This window comes from Homo sapiens, chromosome 1 (assembly GCF_000001405.40).
Source record: "Homo sapiens chromosome 1, GRCh38.p14 Primary Assembly".
NCBI classification, from domain to species: Eukaryota; Metazoa; Chordata; class Mammalia; order Primates; family Hominidae; genus Homo; species Homo sapiens.
Window position 1 is genome coordinate 150,681,052 of NC_000001.11, and position 16,965 is coordinate 150,698,016.

The 16,965-nt window shown below is 38.7% G+C and overlaps 1 protein-coding gene across 4 annotated transcripts in view; it reads right to left on the reverse strand.

The window, feature by feature from the left end:
* Nucleotides 1-16,103, reverse strand: part of GOLPH3L (golgi phosphoprotein 3 like) — a 50,925-nt gene extending 34,822 nt beyond the window's left edge. For 3 of the 4 annotated variants that reach the window (XM_047424285.1, XM_006711428.3, XM_047424286.1), the window contains exons 1-2: nt 14,679-16,103; nt 13,605-13,799 (exon numbers count right to left, since the gene is read on the reverse strand). In XM_047424285.1, coding sequence (XP_047280241.1) covers nt 13,605-13,799; nt 14,679-14,708 — 225 coding nt within the window. In that variant the 5' untranslated portion in view covers nt 14,709-16,103. The remainder of the gene's footprint in view (nt 1-13,604; nt 13,800-14,678) is intronic. The other variant, NM_018178.6, reaches the window with a different exon arrangement.
* Nucleotides 16,104-16,965: the final 862 nt, after the last annotated feature.

Consider the following 16,965-nt stretch of genomic DNA (forward strand, 5'->3'; position numbering starts at 1 on the left):
ACCACTTGAACCTGGAAGGTGAATGTAGTGAGCTGAGATCGCACCACTGCACTCCAGTCTGGGTGACAAGAGCAAAACTCCGCCTCAAAAAAATAAGTTTTTAAAAATATAATTAGTTAATCTAATCCTACAATAGCACTATTAAGTCAATATTATCTCTATTAAATAAGAATGAAGGGAAAAAATGTGAAAATGGAGCCCAAGTCATATAGCTGATAAGTGGTAGAACCGGGATTTGAATGTAGATGTGTCTGATTCCAAAGCCTGCGCTTTTATCCACTGCTGATAAAAAAATTAGAAAATAAAAGATGGTTACTAAGCACACTGAGAGGTATGATAAATGCAAGAGAATTCAGAGAATGTAAAGTTCAGTGCTGGATTTGTGATGGGCTTTAAAACAAAATATGGGAAGGAAACATGGCAGGAATATATAAAATAGACAAATGGGACTGGAGTGGTAAGTAGACTAAGCAGCGAGAAATAAGGTTAGTCAGATGAAGTGGGGCTTAGAAAGCCAGGAAAACACAGTCCTGCTCTCAGGGAGGTTGCAGACTAACCTTAAAGTTAATAATAATATACATTTATTCAATGGAATCCTATGAAACCATTAAAAATAATGGGGTATGTTTATATTTATTGGCATAAAATATGTCCACATTATAATACTTGGAAAAAGAAGGCTACAAAATGATATGTCTGATTATAATCAATTTTTTGGTAATTATGCATCTGTGGCTGGGCATGGTGGCTCACACCTGTAATCCTAGCACTTTGGGAGGCTGAGGCAGGTGGATCACCTGAGGCCATGAATTCAAGACCAGCCTGGCCAACGTGGCAAAGCCCTGTCTCTACTAAAAATACAAAAATTAGCTGGGTATGTGGCAGGCGCCTGTAATCCCATCTACTCTGGTAACTGAGGCATGAGAATTGCTTGAACTTGGGAGGTGGAGCTTTCAGTGAGCTGCAGGTACCACGGCACTCCAGCCTGAGTGACAGAGGAGACAATGTCTCAAAGAAAAAAAAAAATGATGCATCTGTGTATACATATATATGCACTGAAAACAGTCTATAAGGATATATATTACAATTTTAACAGTAGTTATCTTTGGGAAGCAAGATTATAGGTGGTTTTTATTTTCTTCTTTACACCTTTAAAAAAAGGTATAATTTACATAGAGTGAAATGCATAGATGTTAAGTTCAGTGAGTTTTGACAAAAGCATATATCCATGTTATCTCACACCCCAAGCAAGATCTGCAACACTTCTATCATCCCAGTAAGTGTTCTCATGGAGGGCCAGGAGCGGTGGCTCACACCTGTAATCCCAGCACTTTGGGAGGCTGAGGCAGGTAGATCACTTGAGTCTAGGAGTTTGAGACCAGCCTGGGCAACATGGCAAAATCCCAGCTCTATAAAAATTACAAAGAATTAGCTGGGCGTGGTGGCCTGCACCTGTAGTTCCAGCTACTTGGGAAGCTGAGGCAGGGGGATCACCTGCTCCTGGGGAAGGTGAGGCTTCAGTGAGCCCTGATAGTGCCACTGCACTCCAGTCTTGGTGACAGACTCTTTCTCAAAAAAAAAAAAAAAAAAAAAAAAAAAAAGTGTTCTCATGTAGATCTCTGTCTGAATTTCTTAGGGTAAATGTATTTCACTTTTAAAGTATCAAAAAGTAATAAAATTACTTTTATATCTTAGACAAATTTTAAAAACTAACTAAAAAAGAAAACAAATAAAAAAGAGAATACAGTAACCTCAAACCCTTTGATTCAGTATTTTTTTCTATTTGCCATTCCTACCTTAAACTTCTTGGACAACTGTGAATAGGTAAGGTCAAACAGAGAAAATAAAGAATAACTGGCACGGACTTTCTTCCTTTTCCATGTTCCTATAGCATTTTTTTGGTACCTTTCTCCTAGTACTTACATACTGTGTCTAGCTGTATGGTTACTGCATAAATATCTTTTCTCCTCTATCAAATCCCTATGCTTCTGTAGGAAGATAAGCGCATCTTACTTACTTTTATATTTTCCTTACTTTTCTCAGTGCCTTGCATCAAGGAGGTACTCAAGGCCGGGTGCAGTGGCTCATGCCTATAGTCCCAGCACTTTGGGAGGCCGAGGCAGGCAGATCACATGAGGTCAGGAGTTCATGACCTGCCCAGGCAACATGGCGAAACCCCATCGCTATTAAAAATACAAAAATTGGCCTGGAGCGGTGGCTCACGCCTGTAATCCCAGCACTTTGGAAGGCCGAGGCGGGCGGATCACGAGGTCAGGAGATCGAGACCATCCTGGCCAACATGGTGAAACCCCGTCTCTACTAAAAATACAAAAAATTAGCTGGGCGTGGTGGTGGGCGCCTGTAGTCGCAGCTACCCGGGAGGCTGAGGCAGGAGAATGGCGTGAACCCGGGAGGCGGAGCTTGCAGTGAGCCGAGATCGCGCCACTGCACTCCAGCCTGGGCGACAGAGACTCTGTCTCAAAAAAAAAAAAAAAAAAAAAATTAGCTGGGCTTGGTGGTGGGAGCCTGTAATCCCAGCTACTCGGGAGGCTGAGGTACCAGAAGTACTTGAACCCAGGAGGCGGAAGCAGCGAGCCAAGATCACGCTGCTGCACTCCAGCTTGGGTGACAGAGCGAGACTCTCTCTCAAAAAAAAAAAAAAAAAAAAAAAAAAAAAAAAAAGAGAGATACTCAATAAATGTTGGCTCACTTGAGCTGGAGAAAAAAAATCACATCATTAGACAATTTAATGATACTTCCTGAGAGTGAGCTGTCCTTCAGGCGGATGTACATAAATAAATATGCAATTATCTTCATAACCTATTTTTTCTAAAACCTTTCTAAATCATTGTTATGAGCTGAATTGTGTCCCCTCAAATTTCATATGTTGAAGTTATAACCCCCATTACCTCAGAATACATCTGTCTTTGAAGATAGGGCTTTTAGAAGAGGTGATTAAGTTAAAATGAGGGTGTTATAGTGGGCCCTAAACCAATCTGACTGGTGTTCTTTTGAGAGGAGGAAATTTGGACACCTAGAGACGCCAGGAAGGCATTTGCATAGAGGACACAGCAGGAAGTCTGCAGGGCAAGGTGAGAAGTCTCAGAAGAAACCAAACCCATCAATCTTGATCTTGGACTTCTAATCCCTAGAACTGTGAGAAAATTAATTTCTGTCATTTAAGCCACCAAGTCTGTGGTATTTTAGCAGGGCATCTTTAGCAAACTAATATAATCCTACTCTCACAGAAAAATCTAGAAGAGGCTTGTCTAGTCATTTAGTCTTAAGCTTTTTTAATGTTTTATTTATTTTTAGAGACAGGGTCTCACTATGTTGCCTAGGCTCGTTTCAAACTCCTGGGCTCAAGCAATCCTCCTGCCTCAGCCTCCCAAAGTGCTGAGATTAAAGGTGTGAGACATGATGCCCAGCCTTGGTTTTAAGCTTTAAGATGCAAGAAAAAATAACTATTTGCTTACTCATATTTATCTCTTTTTAGTATAATAGTGTCTCCCTCCTTCCATAAGGAACATGTGTGACATGGGTTCTAATCTATAGCTGAAGAGTGAACTGACAAGAAAAATAATGACTATTTGTACACTAGACCTTCTGATGTGATTATTTTAATTTTTTTTTTGGAGAGAGTTTCACTCTTGCTGCCCAGACTGTAGTGCAATGGTGCGATCTCAGCTCACTGCAAACTCCGCCTCCTGGGTTTAAGCAATTCTCCTGCCTCAGCCTCCCAAGTAGCTGGGATTACGGGCATGCACTACCACGCCCAGCTAATTTTTGTATTATTAGTAGAGATGGGGTTTCACCATGTTGGCCAGGCTGGTCTCAAATTCCTGACCTCAGGTGATCCACCCGCCTCGGCCTCCCAAAGTGCTGGGATTACAGGTGTGAGCCACCATGCCCAGCGATAATATGATAATTATAATTAAATATTATTTACTTATTCGTTAAACATATCTTCCTTTTGCCAGTTGGGTTATTCAAACTTCTTACTTGGACTTGTTGCCCTTTATGACTAGAATATCTTGTTTCAAAAAGGAGAAGAGAAAAATAATGTATAGAATTTTCCTATTTCCTCCTTAATATTTGAGGCAATGGAATGGAAAATTTGAAGTAAAAATAAAACTAATAAAATCATTCAGAATTCCTTACAGTAGTATTTTCCCTTTTTCTGACATTATTGATGCCTAGTTAATGTTTTTTATAGGATCCCAAAATCTTTTTCCAGGAGTGAGCTTTGCTGGGGTATTAAACATTTGAACAAGAAAGATATGGATAAGACCTGAAAAATAACTCATATGCCAAATATTATTGTGAAACATAATAATCTTTTATCTTAATAGGAGGCATAAATTAAAATCCATATGAATCTGGCCAGATGCAGTGGCTTATGCCTGTAATCCCAGCACTTTGGGAGGCTGAAGCAGGTGGATCACTTGAGGTCAGGAGTTTGAGACTAGCCTGGCCAATATGGTGAAACCCTGTCTCTACTAAAAATAAAAAATTAGCCAGGCGTGGTGGCATGCACCTTATAGTCCCAGCTACTCAGGAGGCTGAGGCAAGAGAATTGCTTGAACCCACGAGGTGGAGGTTGCAGTGGGTTGAGATCGCACCGCTGCACTCTAGCCTGGGCAACAGAATGAGAGTCCATCTCAAAAAATAAAAATAAAAATATAAAAAATAAAATCCATAAGAATCTATTCAAGGAGGTGAAATTATTTGGGTCACACTAAACAGTTAACGATCCTGAACAATTCTCTTTATTTCAGGAAGAAATACAGAGAAACATGTGAAACTTGCTTTGTAAGTATGTCTTTTTTTTTTTTTTTTTTGAGACAGAGTCTTGCTCTGTTGCCCAGGCTAGAGTGCAGTGGCGCAACCTTGGCTCACTGCAACTTCTGCCTCCCTGGTTCAAGCAATTCTCCTGCCTCAGCCTCCCGAGTAGCTGAGATTACAGGTGCGTGCCACCACACCCGGCTAATTTTTGTATTTTTAGTAAAGATGGGGTTTTACCATATTGGCCAGGCTGGTCTTGAATTCCTAACCTCATGATCTGCCTGCCTTGGCCTCCCAAAGTGCTAGGATTACAGGCGTGAGCTACCGCACCCAGCCAGCATGTCCTTTTTAAACTGCAAAGTCAGATATTTGTTTTTGTTTTGTTTTTCCTGTTTTGAGACAGAGTCGTGCTCTGTGGCCCAGGCTGGAGCACAGTGGTGTGATCATAGCTCAATGCAGCTTCGAACTCCTGGGCTCAAGTGATCCTCTCACCTCAACCTCCTGAGTAGCTGGGACTATAGGTTCACGCAGGGCTGTTTTCATTTTTTTGTAGAGATTGGGTCTCATTTTGTTGCCCTGGCTTGTCTTGAACTCCTGGCCTGAAGTAATCCTCCCATTTTGGCCTCCCAAACTGCTGGGAATACAGGCAGTGAAACACCACGCCCAGTTGCAGAGTCAGTTTGAATGTAAATTCCACAATTTATTGCCCAAATGATCATTTAACTTTGACTCCTATAAAGAGAATGATACCTGCCTTGCAGGATTAAACAATAGAAACTGCAAAATGTTTTGAAAATAAATTATACAAACAAAATATGGAGGCAAAAGTGATGAAATGGCTGACAGCAAGTTTATAGGCACAGTGGTTACAGCCAAAATCCCAAATTCAAGTGGGCAGCTTTGTCTCAATATCAATACTAGATATTTTATATTTTGGGAGAGTACTGTGTGCATTTGGGGATTGGAAGAATTAGGGAGAAGATCTTAATGAAATAGCTTAAGCTATATTTTCCTACTATTAAAACAGGTCTTTGGTCTTCCAGTTTATTTCCTTTTATACCAATAGTAAATAGTTATTTGGGGTTAATATGCCTGGATATAATAAAAAACAAAAGTTAATTTTTTTAACAGCTTATGTTTAAAGAAAAAAACCTGACAAACAAGCCCTTCTGATACAGTTGCCCTATTCACAATCGCAGTAGCTACTGGGAGACTTATTGTTCATTTTGCGCGATTAGGAAACTAAAAGGAAAGACCAGGTAGTAACTTAAATTAGACTTTTAATTTTTTTTTTTAAGACAAGGTCTTGTTCTTTGCTCGGCCTGCTATTAATATTTTAATTATAATAAAATGCTTTAGGATTGAGTCACTTTTTAAGGCGGCCAATTTTCTTCATTCATAGCCAATAATCAACAAGTTGGACACTGACTGACTGTGACTGATTTTAAAAACCTTTTTGGGCTGGGCGTGGTGGCTCACATCTGTAATCCCAGCACTTTGGGAGGTCGAGGCAGGCGGATCACCTGAGGTCAGGAGTTCGACACCAGCCTGGCTAACGTGGTAAAACCCCGTTTCTACTAAAAATACAAAAAATTAGCCGGGCGTGGTGGTGCATGCCTGTAATCCCAGCTACTTGGGAGGCTGACACAGGAGAATTGAACGCGGGAGGCAGAGGTTGCGGTGAGCCAAGATCGTGCCACTACACTCTAGCTTAGGTAACAAGAGCGAAACTCTGTCTCAAAAAAAAAACAAAAAAAAACTTTTTGATTAGTGAATTTTTTTTACCAGCTTTAAAGAAGCTTTTACTTCTAATCTCCTATTGCTAATAAAGATGAACTATACTTGATGGAGGATCATCAGCAGCTTGAAAAAGCGTAGCATTAACATACTTTATAATTAAAAATACATATGAATTTCATACGTATAATTCCCATACGTATAGTGGATAACAGTAGATTGTTTGAAAAAAGATAACTGACAAGTACCAGGAGAATTTTAGCAGCACTGTTCATAATGAACTCTTGAATGTGCATTAACCCATAGAATGAATAGTGGTATATTCATGTAATGAAATATTAATCAGGATGAACTGGATTAAACTATATGCAACAACATGGACAAATCTCACAAACATTATATTGATCAAAAGAATACATTAAAATATTAACCCAATAAAATAGAGTTTAAAAACAGGCAAAACTAAAATATATTGTTTAGGGATATACATACATGTCAAAACTACAGGGAAGTGGGCAGCATGTGATTAGGGGCAGGCATAAGAGAAGCCTTCCAGGATGCTGATATTGTTCTATTGGTGATTACATGACTGTTGGCTTTCAAACTACTTGTTAAACTGTATATATGTGCTTTATACAATTTTCTGGATACACTGTATTTCACAATTTTAGAAAACTTAAACAATAAAGCATGTAACTGGATGTTCAGCTCTCATACTTCAGTTTTAAAACACTGGAGTTCATTAAAAGGAGATGGGATGCTTTCAGACATCTGTGGTTATTCCAGTTGCACATCACTGAAATTATTAGGAACATCCAGTTGATGTTCTTTTTTCCTAGAACCTGTCTCTTTACAGACTAACTCACTCTTATTCCAGTTAAGAGTTATTACCTCCTGGCGGGGCGCAGTGGCTCACACCTGTAATCCCAGCACTTTGGGAGGCCAAGGCAGTTGGATCACCTGAGGTCAGGAATTCAAGACCAGCCTGGCCAACATGGTGAAACCCCGTCTCTACAAAAATACAAAAATTAGCCGGGGATGGTGGCAGGTGCATGTAATACCAGCTACTTGGGAGGCTGAGGAAGCAGAATCGCTTGAATCCGGGAGGTGGAGGTTGCAGTGAGCCAAGATCACGCCACTGCTTTGCAGCCTGGGTGACAGAATGAGATTCTATCTCAAACAAACAAACAACAAAAAAAAGAGTTATCACCTCCTGTAAGTCTTTCCCAACATCTCTTCTTCCCTCTCCTACTGCTCCTTCCCACCACCCATCTGATTTACGTGCTTTTCCTCTGTGTTTCCTTCCTACTCAGAACACACTTATACACATATCACATTGTTCTGAAATGGTCTGCTGACTTTCTGGCTTCTACTCCCAGCATCTCCAACCATCCCTATGCCACTAAACCATAAATTGACCTCAAAAGCAGGGACAATTGTTTTTGTTCTCTCTTTCTATGACATATGAGTCATTCAATAAAATTTTTGGTGATTAAACAAATAAGTGAAAATGTATTGCCATATTTCCAATGGATAATACTTCTTGCCAATTTTTACCACAGTGACATGAGAAATATGATGAAAAGCTTTTCTTTCACAGTAAGTAGTAAGTATTCAATAAATGGCATTACTAGGAGAAAGCTTTCCAAGAAAGAGAGGATGGTTGAAAAACATTATCCACAAATTAAATAGATGAGAAATGAAAAGACCACTAGGAGTCAAAAGCAGTAATTGGCTTACTCCCCTTACAGGTAACTTAAGAAACGATTCTAATAAATGAAAAGTTTTATACATTAGCAAGTCAATTAAAACACTGTTCATGAGTTAATAATCTATATCAAAACTCTTACCAAAGGCAATAATAACAAATAAGCAGATTCCTGATTTCAACAGGAGATAAACCTATTTTATTTTGGTCAGGCTTGTGCTCAATGTTTACTTTCTCAGTTGAGGTCAGTGTTATTGAACTGAGATAGTATCTAATTTTAACTGTGCTTGAAAGGTTATACTCTTCAAATTATATTTAAATTTCTTGATTGTTTTCATAAGACAATGATACTTAATATTTAATTTAATTAGTTTATATTTTTTGAGGCAGTCTTACTCTGTCACCCAGGCTAGAGTGCAGTAGTGTGACCTTGGCTCATTGCAGCCTCTGCCTCTTGGGTTCAAGAGATTCTCCCATCAGCATAGCTAGGATTACAGGTGCATGCCACCACACCCAGCTAATTTTTTTTTTCCTTTAGTAGAGATGGGGTTTCACCATGTTGGCCAGGCTGGTCTCGAACTCCTGGCCTCAAGTGATTTGCCCGCCTCAAACCTCCCAAAGTGCTGGGATTATAGATGTGAGCCACTGCGTCTGGCCAGATGCTTAATATTTTAAAACCAGTCTGTGGTAGTTACCCCTCAGAAGAATTTTTTTTTTTCTTTTAAGACAGGGTCTCACTCTGTCACCCAGGTTGGAGTACAGTGGCACAAACACAGCTCACTCCAGCCTTGAACTCCTGGGCTCAAGCAATCCTCTCGCCTCAATCTCCCAAGTAGCTGAAACTGCAGGTATGTGACACCATGCCAGGCTAATTTTTATATTTTTTGTAGAGATGAGGTCTCACTATGTTGCCCAGGTTGGTCTAGAATTCCTGGCCTCAGGCAATCCTTCTGTCTCCCAAAGTGCTGGGATTACAGACAGGAGCCACCGTGCCTGCTTGAAAGACACATAGTTTCTAAAAAAATGATAATACTGGGTTCTAAACAGAGGATCTTAGGGAACTCTCCAGTAAAAGTTTGGGAGTTTGGGACACAAAATTTAACATTTAGGATTTTTTCCTTTTTTGACTTGTCACAAATCCCAAACCATGTAAAAACAAGCAATTATATACACATTAAAACATACTCACAAAGAACATAAAAATGTTATTAAGCCCTTAATTTGGACACAAAAATGAAATGGGCTTTGCTGTTTTCATTAGGCTGATTCTCTTTTCCCTAAAGGAAAGAGTCTAAAAGTCTCTGCCTGGTAACAAAATCTATAATCTGGTCCAAATCGAATTTACTGATTTTGAATCCCATTGTTCTCCACCTACTTCAGTCATACTGGCCTACTCACAGTTATCTCCCAAACTCATCAAGCTCATGATACCTTTGCTCACTCAGGTTCCCTCATCCAGAACGTGTTTCCTTTTCTCCATTCATGTTAATCCTCCCATTTTTAAAGGCATGGCTTGTTTTACTGCCTTTTTCTATTCTTCCCCGGATTACTCTATCTCATGATGGTTTCTCCTCTCTCTAACTCCCTTGGCTCATTCTAACATGCAAAAACTTGCTTTTTATTGTTGTTTACTTTAAAAAAAATATTTTGCATTGTGAAATATAATGTACACACAGAAGAATAAACAAAACAAAGTAAAAAGCTTAATTATTCCAAAGTGAAGATCTATGGCCCAGGTGCAGTGGCTCACGCTTGTAATCCCAGCACTTTGGGAGGCCAAGGCAGGTGGATCACTTGAGATCAGGAGTTCAAGACTAGCCTGGCTAACATGCTGAAAACCCTTCCCTACTAAGAATACAAAAATTAGCCAGGAGGGACAGAGCAAGACTCCGTATCAAAAATAAATAAATAAATAAAAAAGGCCGGGAGCAGTAGTTTACGCCTGTAATCCCAGCACTTTGGGAGGCCACACCTATAATCCCAGCACTTTGGGAGGCCAAGTTGGGTGGGTCGCCTGAGAGGTCAGGAGTTCAAGACCAGCCTGACCAATATGGTGAAACCCCATCTCTACTAAAAATACAAAAATTAGCCAGGCATGGTGGCGGGTGCCTGTAATCCCAGCTACTCAGGAGATTGAGACAGGAGAATTGCTTGAACTCGGGAGGCGCAGGTTGCAGTGAGCCAAGATGGTGCCACTATACTCCAACCTGGGTGACAGAGCAAGACTCTGTCTTAAAAACAAAAACAAAAACAAAAACAAAACTATGAAACTTCCTCTAGGTCCAGAAACAGAAAATTGTTACTATCTAGAAATCCTCTCCATTTTCCTTCCTAATTACTAACACCCTTTTCCTTCCCCTATCCCTTACAAAAAGATAATCACTATTCTAAAAACTATAGTAATTCCTGGCTTGATTTTGTTTATAATTGTACCACCTAAATATGCAACCTCAAATACAATAGTTTTTTGAGTTTCATATAAATGGAATCATACAGTATGTATATTTTTGTGTTTGGCTTTTTTTATTGAACATAATGTGAGAAATATACATGTTGTATAACAATGTTCATTTTCATTCTGTATAGAAAACATATTTATACTCATTTAAACAAATGGATGACTCTTTTTTTTTTTTGATGATTCATTTTTATCCATTCTGCTGTTGATGGACCTTCGGGTTACTTAACTTTTAAAAAGTATGTATCTTTTTGTCTCTCCAGCTAGAATGCAAGTTTCTTGAAGGCAGGGACCATATACTATACTATTTTATATTTACCTTAGTATTAATATTTAGCATAATCCTAAGCACATAATGGGTGTCCTCAATCACATTAAATATTGATTAAATGAATCTATTGATAGTTTGAGAGATAAGAAAAAAATAAGTACAGTTGGGAATCAATTTAATATTTTTAGAGATAGTTATGTAACTGGCCTTTTGTAACTACTACTATTTAAATAAATCACAAAGTTTGACCTCTTCTATTCATTTACACCTAAGGATTTATTGTCTTTTATTCTTCCTGAGCCAAATGAAAGCTAAATATTTGTTAACTATCCTCAAAAATAAAATTAGAGCAATTCAAAAGGTGGTTAATTGTTATGTGCTATTATTTATTATTTTTTGAGGCCTTGCTCTGTTGTTCAGGCTGGAGTGCAGTGACACAATCCTGGTTCACTGAAGCCTCGACCTCCGAGGCTTAAGCCATCCTCTTGACTCAGCCTCCTGAGTAGCTAGGACTACAGGCATGTGCCACCATGTCCAGCTAATTTTTTTGTTTTAAATTTTTTGTAGAGATGGTGTCTCACCATGTTGCCCAGGCTGGTCTTGAACTCCTGGGCCCAAGCAATCCTCTTACCTTGGCCTCCCAAGTGTTAGGATTACAGGAATTAGCCATTGCATCCAGCCATCTGCTTATTTTGTACAGTATCTCACCAATATGTTAAGTACTCACCATGGCCATAGCTCTTAATGAGCTGCTTTATTTTTTATTCTATTTCCTAAAATTTATATTAACCATTATAAACACATGAAGACAAGCCCAAAAGCAAAAATTCCAGTGCATAAGGTCAGCAGGAAATTAATCATTCCTATTCAAAGCTAAAACAAACCAAATAGCTTTTAGTTCTATATCCTCTTTTTATACAGTCAGTGACTGTTTCCTAGGTAATGTGTAAACGTCTCAAAAGAGTATTTATATCACCTAATCTTCAGTCCTATTCTGACATTCTCTTGGAGAGCTGGTTTTGCCTTTTCGTTTATTTGCCTTTTATAAAACTGAAGGCTCATCAACTTCTCAGCAAACAGGAAAATATATTTCCGGGCAAGAATTTCTGATATACCTACATCTTGGCCAGGTACACATAAGCATGTCTCTAATATTAGTTTTAACAATACACAGACTATAACTGGTCTGTAAATTTTGTTCAAGTTGGTAATTTAACAAGAAAAAAAGTAAAAAGGAAAATAGTAAATAAATGAAAGGCAAAATCTAAACAACAATGGTATTTCCAAGTCGAAGAATTATGTAGAAAAGAAGAGCTGTTACTACTTGTATGCAGCCAATTCACTTCTAGCTAAGGATAATTATCAAAGCCAAATTTAGTACTTTTAAAATCTAAAATAACATTCTAATTTTGTATGTTTTCAAAACTGAGGCCAGTAATAAATATACCTCTTTCTTTTCTTGCAGGCGGTGGGCGAGGGGGGGCGGTTATTTAAGGCTTTCCTGGAAAGAAAGCAGATTGTTTAAAATGTTACCTTCGTAACTTCTTCATGAGGGAATAGTGTGATGAGAAAACACAGCAAAAAGTTACAAATGAAGGATGATGATGTATACTAGTAGAGAAGCCAGGGAAATTTCTGGTTATATCACAAGACTCAGGACCTTAAGACTAACTGTACTATAAAATAAATGTTCCATTAAATAAGGAGACATTTAGGGAAAAAAGAGAAAAGCTAAAATTATTTTTAAAAATTTTCAAAAATTAAAATAATCCTCAATTGTTTATGTATGTGTGTGTGTGTGTGTGTGTGTATATATATATATATATATATATATATATTTTTTTTTTTTTTTTTTTTTTTTTTTTTTGAGGCAGGGTCTCACTCTGTCATCCAGGCTGGAGTGCAGTGGTGCAATCTTGGCTCATTGCAACCTCCGCCTCCCAGGTTCAAGTGATTCTCCTGCCTCAGCCTCCCGAGTACCTGGGATTACAGGCACCCGCCGCCACACATGGCTAATTTTTTATTTTTAGTAGAGACGGGGTTTCACCATGTTGGCCAGGCTAGTCTTGAACTCCTGGCCTCAAGTGATTCACTCACCTCGGCTCCCCAAAGTGCTGGGATTACAGGCGTGAGCCACCGCGTAATCCAACTGTTGATATTTGCCTTATAAAGATGCACAGAGGAAAATAAAAAATTATTTCTGCTATAAGAAACCTACCAATTGTTTATTTCTGTAAGGCAACTAATCACACATGTTCCTTGTCTTTTCATGTAAAAGACTATTTCTCCTCAAAGCTGAAGAAGACTTCAGTGTGTGGGCCCTTGTTCTTACTTTAATAAACGGTATTATTTCGCCTTTAATCTAACTTGGGAAACTACAAGTACAAAACTTTATACTATATCCTCCTCTCCTGTATCTTCTAAAATTTTGGAGTAATTTTGTAATTAAATACACTTCACGTAATTCTACTTCTGGATTTTTACCCTCCAAGTATCGGTCACTGTCCCAACTCCTCCATCTTCCAGATGGTTAGAGCACAATTCTAAGACCAATTTATTATTAAATATATTCCATTAGGTTACTTCCTAAAACATTCCAATATTTAATAGTCTTTGAGATAGCCTAGCAAACCTAACTGCATTACCTCTTTATCTTTTAGTCCCAGAAGCAATACTTCTTCCATAAGAGTAAGGCGGATATCCTTAGAGTCTCCAGAATCTTCATTGTCTGGACTTTTCTCCCAATTACTGTCTTCCTCACTTTCCATCTTCTTTTCAGAGTTCTTGCTTATTTCAGTGCGACGGGCCCGGTGAGTTAAAGTGGTCATTCTCACCTGTTTCTGGAGGGAGTGGTGAAAAAAAAAATCCATATGTATGCTTATGTAAATAAATCATATATTCATACATGCATACTAAACATCCATACAAATAGGAAATATTTACAGATTTAAATATAGAAAGAAAGGAAGGAGTAATGACCAGAAAAAAATGGGTGGGTAATACAGTATCTTTTCCAAAGTACAATAGCTTGGACTTCACAGATGGCACTGACAAAAGATCAAATGAGTAATTCTAAAGTCCAGTAGAAATGCTCATCTTTCAAGCCTGTTGACTTCTTTTTTTCTTTTTCTTCTTCTTTTCTTGAGAGGGAGTCTTGCTCTGTTGCCCAGGCTGGGAGTGCAGTGGTGCGATGTTGGCTCACTGCAACCTCCGCTTCCCAGGTTCAAGTGATTCTTGTGCCTCAGCCTCCTGAGTAGTTGGGATTACAGGTGTGCGCCACCATGTCTGGCTAATTTTTGTATTTTTAGTAGAGATGGGGTTTCACCATGTTGGCCAGGCTGGTCTTGAACTCCTGACCTCAAGTGATCTGCCTGCCTGGGCCTCCCAAAGTGCTAGGATTACAGGCATGAGCCACCAGGCCCGGCCAAACCTGCTGATTTTTTCTGCATAATCTATAAAGAAGGAGTGAATATCCACCATTGTCACTCCTCTTTCACAAAATGGATCCCAAGTTAAGTAAGATGGAACAACAAAAAATTGTGAGCATCCAGCCCCAAAATGCATATAATAATTTGTATCTAATTTCTATAAACGTTCCATGGTACTACATTATAAAAAAACACAAAAAATAGAAAGTAAAAAAGAATACGAAAAACTAAATAGAAATACATGTTCTATATTTCCTTCCCATACCCTAATGACTCATTTCATGTACTCACTTTGGAGATCACAAGTCTAGACGATAACATTCAGAAAATCATGTGTAGTAATTCCACAGTCAGTAAACTTAGCAGCTCTAGTCCTAGCTAGCCATATCTTGCAAATACACAAGGAGCTGCAAACAAAAATTACTGGCAAGAGAGTGTTGAAAGATTAACAAATTTTCTCAATTTAAAAAAAAAAGTCAAAGAACATGTCTTTTATTCTATGTACTACGGTCAAAAGAAACTGCACTAAATCATTTGTGATAAAGTTTATAGTTAGCATACTTTATTTTATATAAATCTAGATATCAGTTTTTAAGATAATATATAACAAATATTTTAAATCAGCAATTATATAAAGGAGTATCTTTTTCAAGATCAAAATAATGGTATTTAAGAGTTGCTATGACTGGACTCGTTTCTACTCCTCTAGCAATATTTCCCATTGCTCCTAATAAGTAGTGTTGCCAGACTTTTTCTCAAAAATGTCTCATGCTTTCTTTCTGCTTCTGCTCCTCTGTACTTGCTGGGGTCTTCACCCTTTTCTCTTCCTCTTTACATTCTACCCATTCTTTAAAGGCCTTGTGAAGGCCTTTAAGTGACCTCCTCTTTTCTATTACCTATGTGTCTCATGGCCACTCCCTCAGCTGTTTCACAGAGCTTTATTTATACTCACTTCCTTTAAAGTATTTATTATAGTCTTTCTCTTGGTATAGCTGTCTCTCAACTGTAAACTTCTTAAGAACAGGGATATTGTCTTCTTGGGTTTATATATTCTCCATAGCAACTAGCACTGTCTTTAACATTGTTATTGCTCGATAAATTTATATTGATTAAAATGAATACTCAGAAGTGCATGTGAACATTTAAAATAGAAATACAAATGAAGTGAGCTACAAAAGTTTTTTTGTACAAGGGTATATTTCAAATATAATTTGTTATGGGAGGTGGGAAGAAAAGTGAAGGAGGAAGAGAACCATGAAATAAATTCTTAAGCGCACTAAGCCTATCTGGCACTGTGAATAGGGACTATTTCCTAAACCAATCCAAGAAACTTTAAACCTTCGCGGGGCAGGGGGGGAGGGGGAGAGGGGGCGGTTTCTTTGAGAAATTAGTTTCATCTGCACATTTACTAGTTAAAAATCCTACTTGAAAGAAAACAAATGGCCCAAATGAATACAAACCTTTCCCTCCCATAAAATAATAATTTTAAAAAATAGAGGTTTTTTTTGGTGGGGGGAAGGGACGTTAGGAAATGTAATTTTCTCGTTGCTTACCTGATGTTACTCCTGGGTTATGGCTGGACGCAGGCTGTAGCTTGTGCTGTATTTTAGAAGGACACCTGTTCTCCCCACCCCACCCCCGTCCTAGTAGGTGAAAAACTTAGCCACGCAGAGAGCACAAACTTCCTGATCCTTCGATGCAGAGAAGGAATAACACATCAGCTTCCTCAGGATCACTAGGCAACCTACCTTGGTGTTTCTTCATTGCGCCAATCAGAAATCACCAAGGTTGAGTCCCGCCAATCGGAGCTCACAGGGGGAGGCTCTCCCCCAGCTATTCTGTTGCGATCCAGACAAACACCACCAAAAGGAGGCAGGTTTGCGTTCAACCTGACAGCTGGTCAATCCAATGAAGGAACCTTGGTGGAAGAGAGGAAAGAGGGCTGCGCTCCCCACCCCCATTAAACCAGCCAATCAAAGCGCTGAGTGAGCTAACATGGGCTGCCAATCTCGAAAGGTTTCTGTGGGTTAATTTCAGCGTAGCAGGTGTGTTGCTGTAGTAGCGTATACTGGGACAATTAAGTGAGATGTGTTGGGATCCAAGCAATACAGCTAAAAATAAATAAATATTTTTACATTGGTTGTTTCTGACAGTCAGTTTATCCTTGACTTGACTGTTCCAGAAAAACATGATCTGGGTCAGTTTGTGTACGTTTATATGGTTTACCTTAAACAGGATGAATACATTTCTACCATCGCATATGTACCAGCATTCCCTATAGCGCTTATTACTGACAAACCCATGGATGTGTATGTTTTTGGAATATGGCTGCTGAAACTACAAGCGGCAAACAGACCAAGTTTTAAGTCTTCCTTTTTCTAAAGCAAAGAAAGCAGGCAAGGCTGGAACTAGCTCCCAGGTTTCTCATTAAAAGCACAGCATTTTTCATACTACCACTCAAAAATTCTAGAAAGTGTGCTCAACTCTTCTTGCAAAGTAATAGCTACCGAAATCATCTAAAAATTAGTATTCCCTATCCCCCCATCCTCCTACCAGCCTTTCAAATGAATGAAGCCAT